Below are 21,179 nucleotides of genomic sequence, written 5' to 3' on the forward strand. Positions count from 1 at the left end.
TGTGGTTCCGTGTGTGTGTGTGTGTGTGTGTGTGTGTGTGTGTGTGTGTGTGTGTTTGAGGGTCAAAGCTATTAAATTTTAGTCAGTTGCTAGAGGGAGTGGCAGGCCTCTTGACTGAGAAATCTACTTGAAATTACTCTTTGGGAGAAAAAAAAAAAAGATAGAAAATTGCCTCATCAGACCCATCTTTCAACCAACAAATCCTGTGACTCTCACTGTTCTTAATTGTTGACCCCTACCATCTGTGTCATGCAATGTGGTAGGAACTCTCCCTTCAAATAAAGATCCATGCTACCTCATCAGAATGTACTTGTTAAAAGTGATAATGGTTCACAATCGGTACTTAGCCATGTGAAATACAATATCCCCTTTTAAAATGTGGAGGTTTCAGGCCTAAATTAATACCTTGGTATGTAAGTCATTACATTATCTGAAAATCATTTGATACGAAGGAGAAATATCTGTGAGATGCTTTTGTTATCCAAAGGGTTTGAATTGCTGAATTTATTTAATTTGCGAAAGGGAAGTTATTGTGTGATGTCTATGGCTAATTGCTGGAAGTCATTTAGCCTTTAAAAAGCTGCCTTTACATATGTAGCACCAGCACCGGAAAATGTATTTTAGGAAGTTATATATGTTTTTTCATCAAGTAAACAAAAAGCATTTGAAATATATCTGGCATTATATTCGTGGAACTGGACTTTAAAAAATCACAACCTTATCCAGTGAATTCTCTGAGTGTATGTGGCTTGCCTTGCCCTGCAAAATGAACTTAAAGGGGCATTGTGAATAGAATATGTGGGTTTAAAATTCAGTGGATTATTCACATCTGTTAGGTGAGAATTAAAGAGCGCTGAAATAATGTATTCTTATGTTTTAGAGCTATCACTGCCAAAGGCTACTGACTAGTAAGTATCAACATCTGTGTTACCTCTCCTTTTGATTTCCTGATTCGATGTGTCTAAACATTTCATTTACTACTGGAATTTTTAAAAGTAGTTTTAAGCCTCTGTTTGATGTACTAATTCATTGAAAGATATTATTAGCAAATATTAGTTAAGGGATTATATGTACAATTAGCGCAAAATAACATTTACCGAATGTTGTGATTCGTATTATTGAAAGGACGTCAGACTCTTGAAATGGTAAATAATGGAATAAAAATAAATAAAGGTACCTGTATTTTGACAGTGATATTCCACCTCTGGTTTCCCCATGCGCAAGCGTAAACACACACTCTCTCTCTCTCTCTCCGTCTCTCTCTCACACACACAATCATTCAAATGCCTTTTCTTTCTCTGACAAAAATATTCATTAAAAACATTTCACTGTGCTGCCTTTTAATATAGCACGGGCATTCAACCTGCACGGGAAGCTTCCTGGAACCGCACAAATACTGTGTAATTATCTGGTGGCTCCCTGCTGGCTGCTGCATATTCCAAGCACAAAGTGAGCAGCGCATTTCTAGAGCCTGACTCCTGTCTTCATTGTCCCTGCTTGGAATATGAAGCCTCACTTCATTATAGTAGACCTGATCAAACTTGATAGATTTAGCCATTATTCTTGACTGTGTCAACTTTCCACAGTTTTCCACCCCCTCTCCTTGGACTCTTTTGTTTTGCCACCCAGGGAATGCAGAATATTCTGAGTCTAGGCTTCTCTCTTTCTCGCCTCTTCTTCTCTTTCTTCCCTCCCTCTCTCTCTGGGCTCTCTTAATCCCCCTCCTTCTCCCTCCACCCCATTTCTTTCACTATCTCCCCCCCTCTTTCTCTCCCCTCTCCCACCCAAACAAACCAAGGATTCAACAAATAATGTTCTTTCCACATCATGTGATTCAAGGAAAATAAGGCTGCAATTTTTCTCTCAATTGTCCTCTTTGGTTTTGAGTTTTCCGTTACTATAAAAGAATTCTGCAGCAATGTTGACACACAAGGCAGAAATTCTTTGAAAATCCTTTTATATTTCCTGTTAGTAGCACAGTAACTTTTGCTCTATGATGTTGTGATGGTTGTTTTTTTTTGTTTTTTTTTTTGGTCTGTTTTATGACAACTTTCAAGGAGCACTTCAGAGTTCATATTTTCAAGGATCATCCACATCAGTGTATCTTATCAAATTTTATAAATGCCCTAGTGCATTTTCTTTGCAAAAGGCATTAGATCATTCTCTAGGCAAATACAGATGTTGATACAACTGGTTTAGCATAACGGATTGCTTGTAGTATTTGAGAGTTCCTATGTAACAATAGAGAATTATATCATAGCTCTAACAAAATTTTAAAGTATCAGAAAAAGAACGCAACCCACATTACCATAATTAGGACCACACTGATCCCTCAAACTGTCATGGAACAAGTTAACCAATATGTCAGGAATTGTTACTGAACTTAAAATACTTATAAGGTCAATTTATCGTTACCCTAGTTAATGAATATTTTGTGGTGAGATTTAATTCCTTGAGTTTTAATTTATTTCTTTTGCACATATAGCCCTTGGGTGGATCTCAAATGCTATTTAAAAGTTAAAAAATAATGCTTATGTTAAAGTCTGCTTATTAAGTGCAAATTATTAGTACAGTAAAAACTTAAGGGCCTTAGAAAGTTCTCTCACTCTCAAGAGTATCTCCACACCCCAAAACACTGCCAATCCTTTTAAATTTTTATTTTTTGAAAGCAAAAGCCAGGCTCCCAACATGGTGCTTTTCAACAAGTTTGCTCACTTATTCTTATTGTAGCTTCTGCTTTTATGCCACAGAAATAAGGTAAGACGCTAGTATGGCATGAATTTAATATTATCCTGCTTAAATTTAAAATAAAATAATTATTTTTTAGAGTGGCATTTTCAGTCACACCAAAAGCTTCATGGCATCTTAAAATGTAAATTGCCGTGAAGCAACACAAAGGAGAAAGAGAAGATTTTGAAGGCAATCGCACTGATCACTTAATTCAGTAGCTGCATATCCACTTGGCATAAGGTAATTAGAGTGCCACATTGCTGTAAAGACAGAAAGCTTAGGGTCCCATTCTGACTCACCCAGACGATAATACATGATTAGAAGTCAGTGACAGATCACAACTGCTGAATGACCCACCAAGGTCTTATCAAGGGCAAATCGCATAATTAGCATGCACTTCACTGGCAAAGGAGTACAGTGCTATTGTTCCCGCACAATCAAATTAGCCCCGCCAATGAGGTCAGTGTTCTGTGACCTTAGAGACATTTTATGTCTTATTCCCCCTCCTTGTCTCTCACATACACACGTGCAATATGCACACATGTACACACTTAAACTGAACCTAAGTTCTATGGACACTCCACACATGTTTTATAGAGGCATTTTTGAAGTACACTCCATTGACTCTTTAGTTCATCATATGTGGAATGAGGAAACTAGCTAATGTAGTCTGACCCTGGGGAACACATATGTAATGGAGCTACTTTGACATAAATTCAAGCATCTAGTGAGGCTCTGATCTCACATTATTTGCTCTTAATACATCTGCAGCATCCCATGTGTACTAATGAAGTCTCAATTCAAGCTGCAGATCTCTCCTTCCTTTTGGCAGTCAAAATGACCTGGCTGATTTGTCCACTCTGCCTCCATCCCAGCTACATTTTCCTCAAGCACTATGCATTTCTGTGACCCTAAACTTCTCTCAGAAAGGGCAAAATTTGGAAAATGGCTGAGGCCCCTCATAGCTCCAGACCATTCTTGCAGCCGGAGTACCCCTTACTGTGCCACCGATGGCCCACTGAGTGTAGCTGTCATAGGGTCAGAGGCTTCCCCTGCTGGGTGACATGTTGGTCTGTGATCTGAAAAGTGGGCATCTTCTTTTCATTTTCAGCAATGTGGGGAATCCTGGAAGAGCCCTTCTGTGAAACAACTTGACTGACTAGCAAGGAGCCTGTTTTGTTTTCCAGCTTGAAAGTCACTTTTTGATTTGTTCTACACACTTCGTCACGTGTTCACTGCACAGGAGAGGTCGACTGGCACTCTGCACTGAGCAGAATCATATGTTACCCTCGCCCTGCCATTTCCATCATTCCACTGTGCTCTCCCTGAACCAGGTATTATCATCACCCACACTCCTGAATTCCATTCTGCTGGCATTACCTGCCTCCATACTTTCTACTGATTCCTTTAAAGACATGTTTACATCCTATCAAATTAAAGCCAAGTTTTGAGTCCTCTAAAGAGGATGATGAAGATATTTTGTTCTCTTAAGAGCTAAATAATTTCAAGTTTTCATTCTTCGAATCTTGCCCAAACATGACTCACAATTTACTACTGTTAAGATAAGGCTCACATGAGCTGAGATTTCATGACATTCTCAGAAACATGTAGTCCAAATTTTAGCGCTAATGAGAAGTCTAGGGAATATTGATTTGTATAAAAGGGAGGGGCTCTGGCTCGAGGCTATTGTTCAGGGAGTGGGGGCTGCCTGAGTTGTGGGAAGCTTTGGATTTGTGGTGCAATCAAGAAGCAGTGGACTGAATTGAATATCAGATGACTTGGGCCTAGCCCTGGCTTTGAACTTGGCCAAGGCTTTTTTAAATTCTTGGCCTGGATGTCTTCATCTGCAAAATGACTAGATTTGGCAAGAGGCTCTCTCTGGTGTCTCCCAGCAATAACATTCTGTATTTCTAAAACATGTATGAAAGCTTTGACCAGTTCATCTGGTCAGATGTACGAACCAGTTGCCGTCTTCAATGTTTGCGTGTCACAGCTGTGACCATTGTAACTAATAGCAATGTTGCAGGTAGTGGATTCAGACCTTGGAAATCTAACAGCACAAGGAAGAGAGGGATGCGAATGTATCTCTTGTTTATAAGACTTCATCTTCTCTCACCCTAGACACATACACCTTCTGTAATTAAACACTAAGGAAAGCGAGAAGCCAGTGAAAGTACAACTGAACTTATGTTTAAATAATATGTTTCCAAAGTGTCACTGACCAGGCAAGTTTATCTTTGAGCCAATTAAATAATTCTAGCTCCACTTTGGCCTCTTCTGTAATTGCTGTATTTTGTGACACTTACATGTTAATAGGTAATGCATGTTTACAACTGTGTTGTGGTGCTCCCATGCATCCAAACATATTTTCTTGGGCAAATGAAAGATTTTGATTGACTTCTATTTTCTGAAGCTGAACTCCATGAATATTTTAAAAGAAGGAGATTTAAATTAGAGTTTAGTAGTATAGGGTCCTCCCTAAGAATTTATTTCTAAAGTATAGTTCATCTATTATAAATGCCTTGGCCATTTGTGCTATATACAGGGATAAAACTTTTCTTCTTCTATAGCACAAAGATAATTTCTAAAGGTCTTGTTGATTTTGCAAATACAGGGACGTTTCCCTTCAATGAGAATTAATACTGTCTGTCTATAGAATGGCAGCAGTATTCAGCATGCCACAAAAGTTCCTGAAAACATTGTATTTATAATGATTGTGATAAGCTATTCCATCCTCCTGGTGTTTAGCCTTCATGGTAACTTCTTTTTGATGAAAAATTATAGAGAATTATGCACAAAGGAGCAGTTTTTATACTTGTAATGGAAATATTAAAAAGAGACCCATTTTTACAAATTCTCTATCTAATAGAGATTTTACAGCATCTGTAAAATATAGACACTGCATCTTGCAGCACTGTTTCTGCTGTTAGGGTGTGTGCTGATTTGTATAAGGTGTATATTTTCATATGTGTGCTCTGGGTACATTATATATATTACATATAAATATAAATCATGGTACCCAAAGTCTCCAGGGGACCCCCCCCAGCCCTTAGTCATCCAGTGCAAACCATGAAAGTCCCCTAACAAACAGGATTAAAATTCACTCCTTTCAACCATCCCAGGCATTTATTCCTTCCTTTTCATTGAGCTACATTTGTCTGATTTAACAAGATAAGATTTGAGTGCTGATGCAGCCCGTTGTTAATGTAGCAGCCGCATCCACCATACCATCGACACTCGGCATCAGAGGAATGCATAAATCAGGTATTCAAAAAAAATTAGATATGCAGCACACCAGTTTTATAGTCCCAGCCTCAGAAATTGAAATGGCCCAGATTAATGTATTATATCTTACACACTGTCCGAGTGAATCAACTTTAATATATTGAACAGATTCGCAGAACAAGACTTTGTTATCTAAGGAGCACTCGGAAGAAGGAATTGACCTGAGGATTTGATTTGGTTCAGGTAGTTCATGTTGTACAGCAGCATTTGAATAGTTTCACATAAAAATAAAATTTGTATTAGAAATATTTCACATCATTTCTGGGCTCATCCACACGGCAGCTTTGCAGAGGGCCAATATTACAGAAACAATATCCGGCCAAGTTATGATTTTAACCTTTGCTTCTGACATGGCAAAACAATATAATTGTAATTTTAATGCAAGCTGCTGTTTCTCAGCAAGACAGCTTGTACAGGCTGACTTTAACTAGTTTGGATTTTGACTGGAAATGAAATGCCCATTGAATTGCTCATACAATAGAAGCACCACAATTTGTAGCATTCCATTCCCAAAGGCTCAGTCGGGGCTGAAGCTGCTCTGTGAAGAAGCTGCTTTTTATACTGTTGGATGCCTTTCCAGGAAAGGACCAGCCTGGAAGCAATGCAAGGTTGTGAGGACAGTATCTCTTTTCTTTGCCAGGCTGGGATAGCCATGACTGGGAAATAGTTTTGGGATTTGAACTCAGAGATGATGTGATCTTTCCCCTGATCACCTGCAATAGAGGAAGGATGGGAAGAAGAAGAGCAAAAATTGAAGTCTAGAGAGAAATAATCTGCATTTGGGGAATACGTGCCAAAGTGTTTCATTCTTCCACACTTTCTTTTTTCTGTTTTAAATGCAGCTACATTCTAGAGGACCCTCTTTGTGTAACTGCAAGACCTGCAGGACTGTGCTCTCTTCCCAGAGTGACAATGATGGAGCCTGAAATCATATCTTATACTTATTGGCAATGTCAGCTATGTGATCCACGACAGACTATAAACTCCACCCTACCCAGAGGTGGCATTCTATTTAATGCATTTGATAGAACAAATGCTAGCGGTAGTGACAATTTTCTCATTGAACTCAGAAAATCTTTGTTATTTCTAAAGTGTTTGGAATGACAGAAATAGGCAGAGACAGACATTAAATGTAAAGACAGTAAATAGACACAAAACTGGCCAAACACTAGTTCCTGTTACATTTACATGCAAAGTAAACAAGAAGTCAAAAAAAAAAAAACACAAAAAAACACATACTTCATCCTTAGGACAATACTACAGCCCTTGTTGGCAAAGATTCTTTTGCCTATTTATTTACCCAATTAGTCTTGCCTGTTTTTCATACCTTTAATTTATTCTAATTTTTAACTAAAAGGCATGCTTTGGTTCATTCAGCCAACCTCATAGGTAGATGGCTAATGTTCCTGGTTTTTCTGTGGTTGGTGGAGCTGTGTGTGAACATGTCTGACATCAGAAATCTGACTATGCTTTTGTGACTGTTTCTGCTTCTGTTTTCACCTGCCCAATTCTCCCTTTTCAGATGTCAATACTAATCTTTTTATTGACTGGAAACTCAGCCCTCTTTCCCTTCTCCCCTACCAACCCAATCCGGGCTGGGACCCACTGATGGAAGAGGGAAGCTTGTCCCCTCAGGGTCTTGGACTTGGAAACCATCTGATGGCCCCTCTGAGGACACAGGTCAAGGCCCAAGATAGTCTTTGAGCAGGGCAAGGGTCAGCAGGGCGAGGGTCCCACGTGCCACTTGCCATATAATTGCAGACGCTGGCATTCATTCCTCTCCTTACATCCTGTATTACCCCTTGTCCCAGTGTTTGCCTATTAGCTTTTTAGGTACTGATTTAAATCTATTTTTCCCAAGAGAACTCAAAGCTCTTTAAGACTGTCTTTTTCATATATTCCTCATTCTTAGCACAGTGCCTGGCACATAATAGGGTTTCACTAGAAATCAGTGAATTCATGTATTCATTCATTCAGTGAATATTTTTGAATGCCGCCTCTGTGTCAGGCACTGTTCTAAGCCCCAGGGATACAGCCGTGAACATAACAAAGCCCCTACTCTCACAGCACTTACACTTTAGGGTGGGAAACAGATATTGGCAAACAAACATGTTAAATGAGCCATATGAAATTACCAATATATGACCAGATGAGATCTAGAAAAATAGAAATTTCATATGGTCTGACCTAATACACAGCATATCATGTGGAGATAATGAACATACCAGTGCAGTCATGGTGTTTGACAACATTCTCTGAGCCATGTTATGATTTGAAAGGTTCCAGCTCCAGCTTAGTCTACTTTCACATAATAAAATTGTCCAAAAATCATCAGAAAAAAATGGAGCACCATTAGTCAGATGGAATGTAATAGTTGCTCTCATGGCTATTGAAACAACAATCATCACATCCTGTTATGTGTGTGTTACTCTACATAGTTGGCATGGCAGAACCAGTCCTTTTTTCTGTACTTGGGGGTCTCAGCATATCCTTAGAGCCCTAGAGAACCAGCCTGTGCCAAGTACCTGTGTGGCGCGGGCTGGGTCTCTGGCCAACAGGATTCTCATTGAGCCACAGTGACTCTTCTCCCTCATGGGTTCAGGCCCTTCACCATGGTTCTGGTAAGTAAAGCTGCCATTCTGGGGAGAGTGATTTGGGGGCTGGTAAGCAAAAGGAAATGAGACCACACAACGTGTTTCCCCACCTCCTTGCCCAAGCTGAGGAATGAATGCCAGTGTCTGCAATTATATGGCAAGTGGCACATGAGACCCTTCTCCCCGCTGACCCTTGCCCTGCTCAAAGACCATCTTGGGCCTTGACCTGTGTCCTTAGAGGGGCCATCAGATGATTTCCAAGTCCAGGACCCTGAGGGGACAAGCTTCCCTCTTGCAGGCACACTTGGTGCATTATTTCTCATGGCATGTTCTTGTAATATTCGGCTTTGACAGCACAGTCTCTGAGCGTGCATAGGAAGGTGTCAAAAAAGTGCTAATACTTCTGCTTGTTCAGATCATTAATTTTCTCAAAGAAATACTAAATAAAATGACTTTTTTTTTTTTTGAGACAGAGTCTCGCTCTGTCACCCGGGCTAGAGTGCAGTGGTGCTGCGATCAAGCTCTGCCTCCCGGGTTTACACCATTCTCCTGCCTCAGCCTCCCGAGTAGCTGGGACTACAGGCACCCGCACCATGCCTGGCTAATTTTTTGTATTTTTAGTAGAGACTAAAAATTTCACCGTGTTAGCCAGGATGGTCTCGATCTCCTGACCTCGTGATCCACTCGCCTCGGCCTCCCAAAGTGCTGGGACTACAAGCATGAGCCACCGCGCCCAGCCTAAAATGACGTTTTTAAAAAGCCCTCCTACACTGCTATTTTTAAAGTTTTATTTTAAATCTTGTGCCCTTAAATGGCTCTTTTTCCCTTCCACTTAGAATTATTTTTCCAGATTAAAGTTCATAACTCTTTTATAAAATATATATCATAAATATTTTTGCATATTTTAAAAAATTATATAGCAAACAGTGATGTTTGGGAGCTTTTGCTAGAATTATAAAGGATTTTTTTTTAAGGAAGTCCAAAGCAAAGTCCAAAGCAGAGGGAAGCTGCTGCAGAAGGGAAAATGATGACTTTCTGCCCCTCTATGATCCTGGGGTTGGTAGATGGCTTTTCATCTCTAGCTCACTGGAACTGACTGAAGGCAGAGGTCATATGTCTTACTTGGAACATCTCTATAGTGGCTGGTACAGGGCTCTGTGCACAGGGTAGGCTAGAATGGCATTTATAGAGAAATCATCTCAGCTGTCACTTATTAAGCACAAACAATGTGCTACATCTTACCAGACCCTACTTTGGGAGAATATTTTTCCCATTTTACAAATAGGCAAACTGAGGCCCAGAGGGTTCACTGGGTGTCTAAGATTACATAGCTAGCAAGTGACAGAGATGATCCAAACGCAGGTCTCCACCTCTAAAGTCCTTGCCCTCTCCACTCTATTACTAAGCTTCTGACATGGTCGAGTTCTCAAGAGAGGGTAGGTACATCCAAACTGTTGAGCAAAAGAATGCATTTGTCATTAGGAAGTGGTTGAGTTACTCAACTCAAATTAAAATCAGGGTCCATTGTGTATCTATTCTAGGCTTGTTAGGGTTCATTCTCCTCCCTTTCCCAAAAACTTGAGCCTTCCTGAGACCTCTCTCCTTGACCCCACATACCCTGACATCTGGCAACAGGAGACCCTCATAGTAAACTGCACGATGGATGAGAACTGCTCTCCTGCCACACCACTTCCTACCCTTGTCCAAACAGACAACTCTTAGAGATCCACAAACATCTTTCAGCAGTCATATGACATTCTGTTCATTAAGATAAAAAATAAAGTGGCTCAAACCCCAATTTATGGATTTCCCCAAGGTTTCCAGAGACTTGGAAACAGGAAATGCTATATTCTCCCAGGCACCTCAAGCTCTAAATTCTTGCTTTCTCTGAACTCTCTCCACAATGCTTGGCTATGCTAATGAGTACTGTCATCATTCTCTCAAGTACCACAAAATTGAGTTATTACACATAATATGCATTTATTGATGATGTCCCAGTAGTGGAGAGGGATTACAGCACAGAAGAGAAAACATCTTTAAATTGACCATGTGGCGTCACTGCTCTTACAGTTCCTTGAATATCCTCATTGCAGGGTGTATCCTCCCTGGGACTCAGTCCCTGACCATTAAACTGGGGCTTGTTCTTCCTGCTGTAACCTTTTTACAAGCATCTGTTCTCCCCTCAAATCTCCAGCCTTACTCCAGTCCTCCAAGCCTACCAGAGGAAAACTGAAAATTCCTGTAAAGTTATTCTGCAGAGTGACTTAAGACCACTTTTTCTCATTTCATACTTTGCACAGGCCTCTAATTTGTATAACTAAGAAGACTAACTCACTGGTTATCTTCAACCGTCAACCATCTACCACTGAAATGATTTCCGGAGCTTTTCTGGAAAGCACAGGGTGCTCCCATCATCTCATTTTGTACATCACATCTTGCCCCTCATACTGACTCTTTTTTTGTACTACTAGTCTGATTAGGGTTGATCGCATTCTAGGAGTCAGCTAGTAGCTGACTCCTTTCTCTCCTCGCCTTTCTCTACTCCTTCCACATACTTGTTTAATGTTTTGGGAATATTTTTGGACTCCAGAAACCATGTTTGGGGAATCCTTGAAGCCATTACTCTTTAGGGGCTGAGGGCTAGTCTGTCAATCAATGTGCTGGGCCTCTGGTTGGTTTTTTCTCTGTCCTCAGCTACCCTGTGATACAAATGCCACATGGACATGAGCCTAAGTCACTTCTTTCCATCCAGAATGAGACTGGATTTGGTTGTAATTCACATACAAATATACCATCCCCAGTACCTTAACTAATCTGTAAGGCAACTATACATTTAACCTTCTAAATAGTGATAATTTAAATGTCTGCTACATATTAAACATTTTCTAAGTGCAAAGTACCATGTCTAACATATATCATTAAAGCTTTATCAAGCAATGTGTCATAGAAATTGTTAGCCCATTTTACAGGTGAAGAAACTGAGGCACCATGAGTTTCATAGCTTGTACAAAGTTACAGAGTTAAAAAGAGGGAGAAAAGATTGCAATTTGAGCCTTTTTGTTTCTAGAGCACAAGTTCTTAACCATTCTTTTTTTATCACCACCTGTCCCACCAGTGATATATAGATATCTACTCCAATTCCCGTGTGATAAAAGGCTGTCTTTATATGTAATCTAAGCAAGTGAGCCCATGGCTATAGGTCAATAATGGACAAATTCACCAGTCCATTAAAGCCAAGTAAAGAGAAATAGAGGTTCCACAGAATCAAGCATTTTTTTTTTACTATAGCTAATCTTATCTTTGATTTAATTATTTATATTCCTGGAACAGCCTCTTATATTCACTTAATAAGCTAGCTTCATCAGAACATCTTCAACAACTTATTGCCTATTTATCCCTCCTTTGTTTCTCACTGGAAATTTCTTACAACATATCCTAGCCTGGAGATCATCAAATGAGTCAATTTTTCTAAAGTCTATCAAGCACTGGGATCATGTCTGTGACAGCTAGTTGTGGGAGTGGATAGTTGATTTTATGGTGCTTTTAAAGGATGATGTTTGGACTATGATTCAGAATGCTCTTTGTTGGTTATCTTACATACTTAGAATGTTTTAGGTGTGCTTACTTGAACAGCATGGTTCTTTTATGTGCCTCCTTTAAAAATGGTGCTCTGCTGGTAGAAGGCCTGGTGAGTCATCAGTGCATGGTGATGGAGAACCACACTTTAATGAAAGCAGGCTGTTTGTGGGCTCCTGAAGGACCTCTTACACTTAGGCTTGCCGTTACCATGAGACTTCACAGAGGCCACTAAGAGAGCCCTTATTTTCTAAACACCTTTAAGAAAGGGGGTACAAGGATCTGAAAGAGACTAAGAAACTCTTGGCAATGTTCTCAGAGCTGGTCTAAATAACACCAACATTAAAAAAAAAAAGTTAAAGTAGAAAACTCAGTCAATCAATCAACTAAATGTTTTGATTTTCAACATCTAGATACATTCAACATTGGTCTCATGGGAACAAAGCCATAGTATTTTCTTGGCCAGTGTTCCAAATGTGGTGGAGGGACCTGGATATTCTGGAGATGTTTTTGTCTTTCAGATGGTGAAAAGATTATCTTAAGCTTGGAATTAAGTGATGAAAGGGACCTTCGAAATTATCAACTCTAAATACTTCTTTACAGGTGAGTGCCAGTGAGGATATGACGTCGCCAGTCTTAGTCACATTGCTAATTTCAGAGGCAAGAGTGAAACAAAGTTCTCCTGCTTCCAGTTGCATCTTCATACAGTTGTCATCCTGTATTTTCTTTTGTAAGGGGAAAGAAAAGTGGCAGCTGGAATACTCCACCTTTGAAATTAGTTAGATTTTTCTGTTTCCAAATACAGACATGATTTTGCCTGCATAGGTGAGATTTACAGCACACGTTGGGCCATCATCATGATTGTCCAGTATGTAGGATGAATATATTGTATGTGCAAAGCTCCAGACAACGCCCGAGAGAATGAGAAGAGCTGGAAGACACCACCCCACACTTTATCTGATGGTTGTGCCGTTGGAAACAATCATTTGTGCAAACCTAGTACTTCAGAGAAAATAACACAGCCTGAAGAAAATCAGGTCTTGACTCAAATGAATCTTGACTGTGTTCAGCCTTCCCTGAAACCCAACTTTTTTCCTGAGAATGTGTATGTAAAGGAATTTTGAGAATATTTGAAGAATGCAAATAATTATATTTTCTTAGTGTAGTTAAGAAAAGGATGTGTGTGTGGGAGGAAGAGTAGACGTGCAGTGACCGCACTAACAAGTATTGTCCCCCCAATGTATATTTAATAGGATAAGGATGGTTTTTTGAAGTTAATGGCATAGAGTTACGATTAAAGTATATGTGATATGAGGGATGTAGGAAAGTCCAACAAATAAGAATGTATGGGCAAGCTCATACAAAGAAGACAAGACTAATTTTATTAGTGTGGTCATTTTTGTTTTAAAGAAAGTCCTGAAGGATTCATATTTTAGAAGATTTGCTTCCAAAGATGCCATAATCTTCTAAAATAATACTCTAAAAATCAATGTCAATGTAAATGTTCATTTCTAATACGAATAAAATTAATCAAACATTTGTTACTATTTCATATATCCAGGCTTTATTATATGCCCTTCATTTTAGGAAAATTGAAAGCAGTTAAGAACCTGCCCCCTACCGTGGAGTTCTTGGTGCCGTGAGTTGGAGTTCTTGGTGCCTGGGTGCGTCCCCAAGGCCACTGGTCTTCAGATCTTTCTTACTTGAGAAGAACGCCTCCGCCTCCTGGCTCTCCCACCAGTGGTATTGCCACCACCACACACCAGCATAAAGCACAGATTGCTGCCCAGCTCCTTGGAGAGGGGCCAGTGCATTTGTCAGGAATTGAAAAGTTTTGGAGCCAGTTCGAGGACTTTCTCCTGCACAAAGTGTTGGCTGGAAGCATGGTGAGTATTAAATGGGATGTTAATTTTCATGAATATTTTCCCCATGGTTGTAGCTTGTGGTCATTGAGCAATTTAGCAATCACCATGTGGTCTGTTGGACACACAGCCTGGATGAAGTTCAAGAAATTAGAAGCCAGTCAGTGGGGACAAGGCCAGAACTCAAATTCATGTGTTTTCACTTTCTTTCTTTTTTTTTTCCTCCCACCTCAGGGGATGGTTGCTTCTTTATTACAACTTAGGTGCAACCATATGCCTGAGATCCCTTTGTACCACCCATATTGATGTTCCTTCACATTTTCACTCATTTCATTTTAGCTCATGTCTGTCAGACTTGTATTCTGGCTGTAAAATCCATGATTCAATGATTATTTGCCAGTTCATTCTTTGCCTCATCATGTAGGGTAGATTGCATCATTAATTCCAAGGACACTTATGTATGGTACAAGGCGTAAACGATTTCATACTTATCTTCAAAGTGAGAGGGGTTTGTTGGAATTCTGGAAATTACAAGCCTGTAAGAGAAGAAATTTTGATACAACGACTATGGAAAATCAGGGTCCTGTATTTGACGTGAATACCATCTTATGTTTTTACGGTACCTTTCCTACATCATATGATTGCAATTAACTTTCACAACACTTTGTGAGACGTCTAAGGCAGGAACTCTATCACAGTTCCTTCATTACCCATCCTATAGTCCTTAGAAGTGAAACTATGTTGCTCAAGCGGACACAGCTAGGAGTGGAAGACCTCCTGCTCCACCCACATTCTCCTTCCTCCCTATCAGCCCTCCCCCACCTCAATACCCAAGCTGTGTCATTAGAAATTTGTTATGGATAACAAATATAGCACGATTCTCCCATGACTTATTTTTCTCGGTTTTTAATAAATTGTAGCAAGTCAAATTTTTATTCCCATTTGTTAATATTCCTGCATGCTTTCTTGAAGAGAAACAGAGTGGATGGAAATGTCATATATGCTCTAGGACAGCAATCCCCAACCCTTTTGGCACCAGGGACCAGTTTCATGGAAGGCAATTTTTTCATGGACCAGAGATGAGGGAGTGGTAGGATGGTTTTGGAATGAAACTGTTCTACCTCATGTCATTAGGCATTAGTTAGATTATCATAAGGATCACACAACCTAGATTCTTCACATGTGCAGTTCACAATAGGGGTTCATGCTCCTATGAGAATTTAATGCCACTGCTGATCTGACAGGTGGCAGAGCTCACAGTAATTCTGGCTCGCCTGCCACTCACCTCTGGCTGTGCGGCCCAGTTCCTAACAGGCCATGGACAGGTACCAGTCTGCAGCCTGAGGATTGGGGACCCCTGCTCTAGGAGTTATGTGTGACACACAGATGTCAGCATATCTCATTGGCACCACCTGAGGAATGGGTGTAGCATGCAAATTGATATTTGACATATTGTTGATGAGAGTTTGCATACCCTCTACTGTGTTAGCCACTTCTGTCTACTGTCTTAGGAGGAGATATTTTATAGGGTCACTTCAATGATTCTCATTATTTAATTGCCACCCATGGTAGAACCCCAGAAGTGAAACTTTTTGATATTCTCTTTTCCAGGATAAAATTCTCTGACATCTGAAGTTGCTTTCTGAGAATTAAATAGTAAATGAATCTGAGATGAATCTTTAAAAGTTCACAAGTAGATTATGTTATTTGTTTAGCCTATGAATAATTACACATATAATCAATAATACATAGTAAAGCACATTAGATGTATTCCCAAATATACATATATATATGCATATATAGAAAATATATGAGCAATCCATTTTTATTCAATATTATTGGAAAATCAATTGATCTGCATATGTAAAATTTTGTCTTCCTTACTTAAAAACTTACCTTTTAAGTATTTTAACAATTTTGATGGACTTTCCTTTGAACTGTTTTACATACTTCTCTTTCAGGAAAGAAAGAGAATATGGAACTCATTTAGTCCTTTTTGGAAGGCTTGTGTTAATACTATAAACAGAATTTATTTGCTCTGTTCTCTGAACACCTTGAAGATTCTTTGAGACATTCTGTCCATTGTATTTTTGCGGCTCTTTTCTTACCGGAATAGCCAGTCTAGTGTTTAGAGGTTTTAGCCTGATGATCTCTAGCATTCTCATAATTTGCTTCTTATCTGCATTGAGCTGCAGCTCACGATATAAAAGCATTAGTATTTCGTGTGAAGTAAGAGTTAATAGGCCCTGAATGATTAGAGTACATATAAATTATGGGGGCTTGATGTTGTGGAATAATAACCCTGAATTGCTGATTCTCAGGCCCCTTTTTTCCACTTTCTCTTTGGTTTCCAGGTAGGATATAAAGAATAGAAGTTGCCTAATAAGTGAAGTGTTACTCTCCATTAAAAAACAATGAGGTGCATATGAATGCTTTAAATCTTACTGGGATTAGCAGTGTTTAGTTTGGGATGACCAAGGGATAAGCAGGGAGCACTTCTGGCTGTGCATAAGAGAGGAGTGTTTTTATTTGTGTTTGTCAAGGATGAACTTATGAGCAAACTACAAAAGGACATTGCCTCTTTAACGGAGGCTCTGGCTTGTGTTCCTGGGAGCTTCGCAGCGTTTGTTCGTAAAGCAGCATGAAAGAGTTGATTTTCATTTTATGTTGTGCTTGTGAGGCATTAGCATGATGTTCTAACACTTGTAAATGAATACAGCTCTCGCCTAATCTGTCATTTTAATGCCTTATAGATTTTATTTCACTCGATGTTGTACCAGATTCTCAATAATAATAATCAACTGCTTTGTTGTTCTCTTGCAGAAATTAAATTTCTGCAGTGAGTGTGCAACTAATAAAAGATGTTGCTTGAGGAAACAAAAAATAAATATGATGAATCATAAAAGTTGGGTGGGGGGAGAAGGGAAGTTGCTCCTAGATGAAAGACAATTACTGAACCAGTGGTGAATGTGTCTGATTCTCATACTGTCAACAGCTTAATAACCGTCACAAAGTCTTTAGCCACTGTACTTATGTCTGAGCATTAACCTCATGGACTTGGCATTTCCCACGATTTCATTGAAAAGCATTAAAATAAAAAGGTGAGGTGGTAAAATCACTATTCTCTTTGCTTTGCACCCTAGATAAGTTTGCTCAGGGTTGCCATTTTGCCACACATACATGTTATCTTTTCCTTGTCATGAGCTATCCAGGAGAGCAGCATCAAGGCAGCTGTGTGGGACTTGGAGTACTGGCAAAGACTGCAAAGTGGAAAATAAACAGTGTGTCTATCACCAAGCTACAAGAACACAGCACTCAGAGCAGTGAAATGACAGTCCATGGCAAGCAACTAATTGGTCACCAGCTTTGGAGGAAATACATTATTCCAGACCTCTGTCATTTACCATGTTCTTTAAACTAGAGAAAAATCTGCCAGGTTGAAGTGTTGGCTGCAACCCCCAAAAGAAAGGAAATAGAGAGTTAAGACTGCGAGGCTGGGCAGGCACTTTGGAGACTGAGTAATTGAAGACATCCATTGCTAGAGAAAGAGTCAGTTTCCTGAGACATAATGAATTCACCCCATTGCGCACAGGTATTGTGTGGGTCCAGCACCAGTTATGTGATGAACGTTGTATTTCACATAGCTTCTGCCTGAGAATACAGGCTCAAGTGAATTCAGCATGTGACCACATTTTTATGAGAGCTGTCCCTTTTTTTTCACAGTTTGTCTCTCTAATTTATCGTTTCACTTGGAAAGGTTGATACATTGATGAGCTACGAAAAGCAAGAGGGAACATGCCCATCTACTAAGAGGAGAAGAGAGCCTAAAACATACACATTCACTAAGGAAGAGAAAGCCAAATGTGAGGTAACAGACACTCACAGGGCTACACCTACAACTGGTCAATTTAAAAATGTTAAAAGTAAGGACCTAATGCATAATCAGATTGACTTAAGCATGTGCACCTCTGTCCCAAACTGGACATATCATATGCAGAAGAGAAGGAATAAGAAGAAACTTCTCACACAAATACGCATTTTATTTATGTATTTAAATGTGCAGCCACATAGACTCTCCCCATTCAGGTTAGCTTGGATGAATGAGGCCTTAGTGTGCACTGAGATTGTGAATTTAAAAACCCAGAGGTCTCGATAGCAATAACTGGTTGTTTATCTTAATCCACAGAAGTATGTAGTCCAAAAATTATAAAATAGTTTAAAATCATGTAGGTTAATAGCTTTATAAATGTAAGCACTGTTTCTTTGATGGGCCTTAAAGGGCCCATAAACTCTTTGGAATTGTACCCTTTAATGTGTATGGATATATGTACATTTTAGAGACGAAGAAGGTCAGTGGTTTTCCTCGGATTCTCTAACAAGTACAAGACCAAAAAGAAGCCAAAAACCTCTTAATTGTGTATACTGAAAGAAAAAGAAGAAGAAAAGAAAAATAGTAAATTTTAAGGAAACCTATGATCAATTGTTCATGAATGTCAGCTCTAAATAGGAAAAGATTTATTAAAAGTAGTTTTTAAAAGTTGTGTATTTTTATAACTTGCTTTTAATCACAAGAATCATCTTAGAATTTCATATGGAATCCTTTTGCATCCATATGACTTCATTTCCATTTTTAAAACAAATATATAACCTAAAAGATGCCCAGACTGTATCTTTGTATTCCTAATCTATGTGTACTATTGTGCTCGTATGCGCATGCACTCTCTCTCTCTGCCCTCTTTTGCCTTTTCAGAAGCAATAACACATGGTTTGCCAAAGAATCTGCATTGAATAATACTGGTGGTGACCACAAGAACATGCCTCTCTGACTGCAAGGAACAAGAGTGACCCAGGGTTTCAGCTGCTGCCTTGGAAATTCATCACAGTGCAAGTCTATGCTTCCCACGGGCTGCTCCCAGCCTGTGAATAAGCCTGGCATCTTTGTTGAGGCAGGCCTATTTCTGGAGATGCAGGATCCTCCGATGGGCGAATTTGGCTCTAGGACTGCTTGATGGCCTTGACAGACTTTCCTTAGAAATGCATGGCAATTTAGGGTTCCTCCACCCTTCCCTCTTTCTCTCCTTCACCTAGGGTCGGACTTGCATCATGGCCTGAAAGCTCCACCAGCCTCTCCTGCCCTCCTCCTCATTTTCTTTCACAGGCATATCCTCTAATAAATTTCTTGCACATTGAATCTCATCTTGGCATCTACTTATTGGAGGATCTGAAAATTCACATTTTTAACACAATAATAAAATTCACATTTTTTCATCATCCACTATATGCCAAGTAATGTGTTACTGTGTAGTCTCATTAAATCCTCTCAAATCCAAGAGATAAGAATTACATTTATTTTACAAGAAGAAAAGCAGTCACTCTGAGAGGTAAAATAATGTATATGGCAGTAGATTGCAGAGTTAGCATTTGAAGAATGTTCGGTTGTACTCCAAAGCCCACCACAAAACTCCACCACTAAACCACAGCACCTTTGGAGCAATTGGAATGACGATTCTGTTCAAATCATATTAATACCAATCACTGTATTTGACTTTTTCGTTTAGATGTGGCTGTGATTGAAAAATCATGGTCTTTGTATATAGTCACCTGTTCTATCTGCCTTTGTTTTGGGGGACTGCCACCTGAAATTCCTGACTTTTACCCTGGGAGGGGCTTGTGCAGAGGATCTGAGTTACTCATCTGAACGGACTGCCTAAAGACACCTCAGTTTGTGTTGTCTGTGCATTCACTCAGCCTCCATAGCTAAACTAAGATGCTGGGAATGAGAGACTGTTCAAGGAGTAGAAGCCTTGCTTCTAGCTTCTATATTCCTCCTACCACCTATGACTTTTAGCGTTGTCAGGGAAGTCATGAGGTTAGAGCTGATTTTTTTTTTAAGAAAATGAGAAACATAAATGTTCTCTTTTCAAGGTTTCTGTTTGATAGTGTTTGCTAGACAAAGTAGAATTTTCACAGTACAAGTCCTTAGCTCAAGAGCTCCACTCAGTCAGCAGTTATTTCATCTGCCTTTTATCCAGCCTTTCTCGTTTAAAAAAAGGAAAAAGAGAAATTTATCCACTCAAAGTGAGCTTTTTGCTAAACTTGTGTCTTTCCCTTGTTTGTCATGTTAATTACATCCCAAACAACCCTATTGCAGAGAATTCTGCAATCAAACCCCAAAGTCCCATCAGATGTACAGTGGCTTTTAAAGTGGACTGATTTTTTATGTAATAATAAATTTAGTGTTATGCTTACCTCTAAATAAATGCAGATTCTGCTTCTTAGAATACCTGCTACTTCGTGTATCGTGTGACCTACTATGGTAAGATGTTTAACCTCTCATTTCTTAATTTCCTCACATTTAAGGCAGAGATAATAATATCTCCGCTATAAGGGTCGTTATGTGCCATGTGTTATATGATATGCATTTAATTCATGTAAATGTGTGTGAAATAAATAACCAGATCTTGCCCAGTTAATTTTTGGTGAGGCAATTTGACAGTTCTATTGTAGATAGACCTATTCAGCAAACTATCCATAAGAGAGAGAGTTTATCTGAAATCGCCTTGGCTGGACAATACTTGTGGGTTCAGATACCTTTAGGAAGTGATTTTCACCACGAATGGCAGAATTTAAGAGATCTCAACTGAATGAACATAGATAGGTGCTCAATGAATATTACAAAACTAAGTCAACAAGGGAATGTGGCATAGAATGAGCTTGGTCCTCCAAGGTGAAAAAGCTAATGCCTGCATTAGTAAAGGGTTATTCCATTAACTCATTTTCAGTTAATACAAGACTAATTATTCAAGTATTACTCAAATTCCCTTTAATATTAACATTGTGTGTGGAGATTACATATTACAAAAACATTTGAGGATTAAACCAATGTATAAGTCATTAAAATTATTCTGTTGCAGGGGTGGGGTGGTGAGGACTATTTTATTACCGTGCAGAAAATTCCCTGCTCATCTAAAGTGAGATCATACTCACCTTCTAGCCTTGTCTGCTTGTTTATAAACTCCAGCAGGCAAAACAGTGCCAAAGGACACACAGAGATTTTCCCAAATAAAGTGCTAAAATGGTGGTCAAAATGTTGGCAGTATAAGTTTATCACGTGATATGTTAATCATAGTTA

The 21,179-nt window shown here is 39.3% G+C and overlaps 2 long non-coding RNA genes across 2 annotated transcripts in view; both read left to right on the top strand.

Annotated features, from left to right (window-relative positions):
- The window catches only part of LINC01122 (long intergenic non-protein coding RNA 1122), a 543,014-nt gene that overhangs the window by 391,086 nt on the left and 130,749 nt on the right, over positions 1 to 21,179 (top strand). The window contains exons 4-6 of the long non-coding RNA NR_033873.1: positions 881 to 908; positions 12,707 to 12,788; positions 13,773 to 14,071. This is a non-coding gene — a long non-coding RNA (long intergenic non-protein coding RNA 1122). The remainder of the gene's footprint in view (positions 1 to 880; positions 909 to 12,706; positions 12,789 to 13,772; positions 14,072 to 21,179) is intronic.
- Positions 14,078 to 20,328, top strand: LOC124907771 (uncharacterized). The gene is made up of 2 exons (XR_007086326.1): positions 14,078 to 17,915; positions 18,798 to 20,328. It is a non-coding gene; the product is annotated as an uncharacterized LOC124907771 (long non-coding RNA).

Source organism: Homo sapiens, chromosome 2, assembly GCF_000001405.40.
Source record: "Homo sapiens chromosome 2, GRCh38.p14 Primary Assembly".
Classification (NCBI taxonomy): domain Eukaryota; kingdom Metazoa; phylum Chordata; class Mammalia; order Primates; family Hominidae; genus Homo; species Homo sapiens.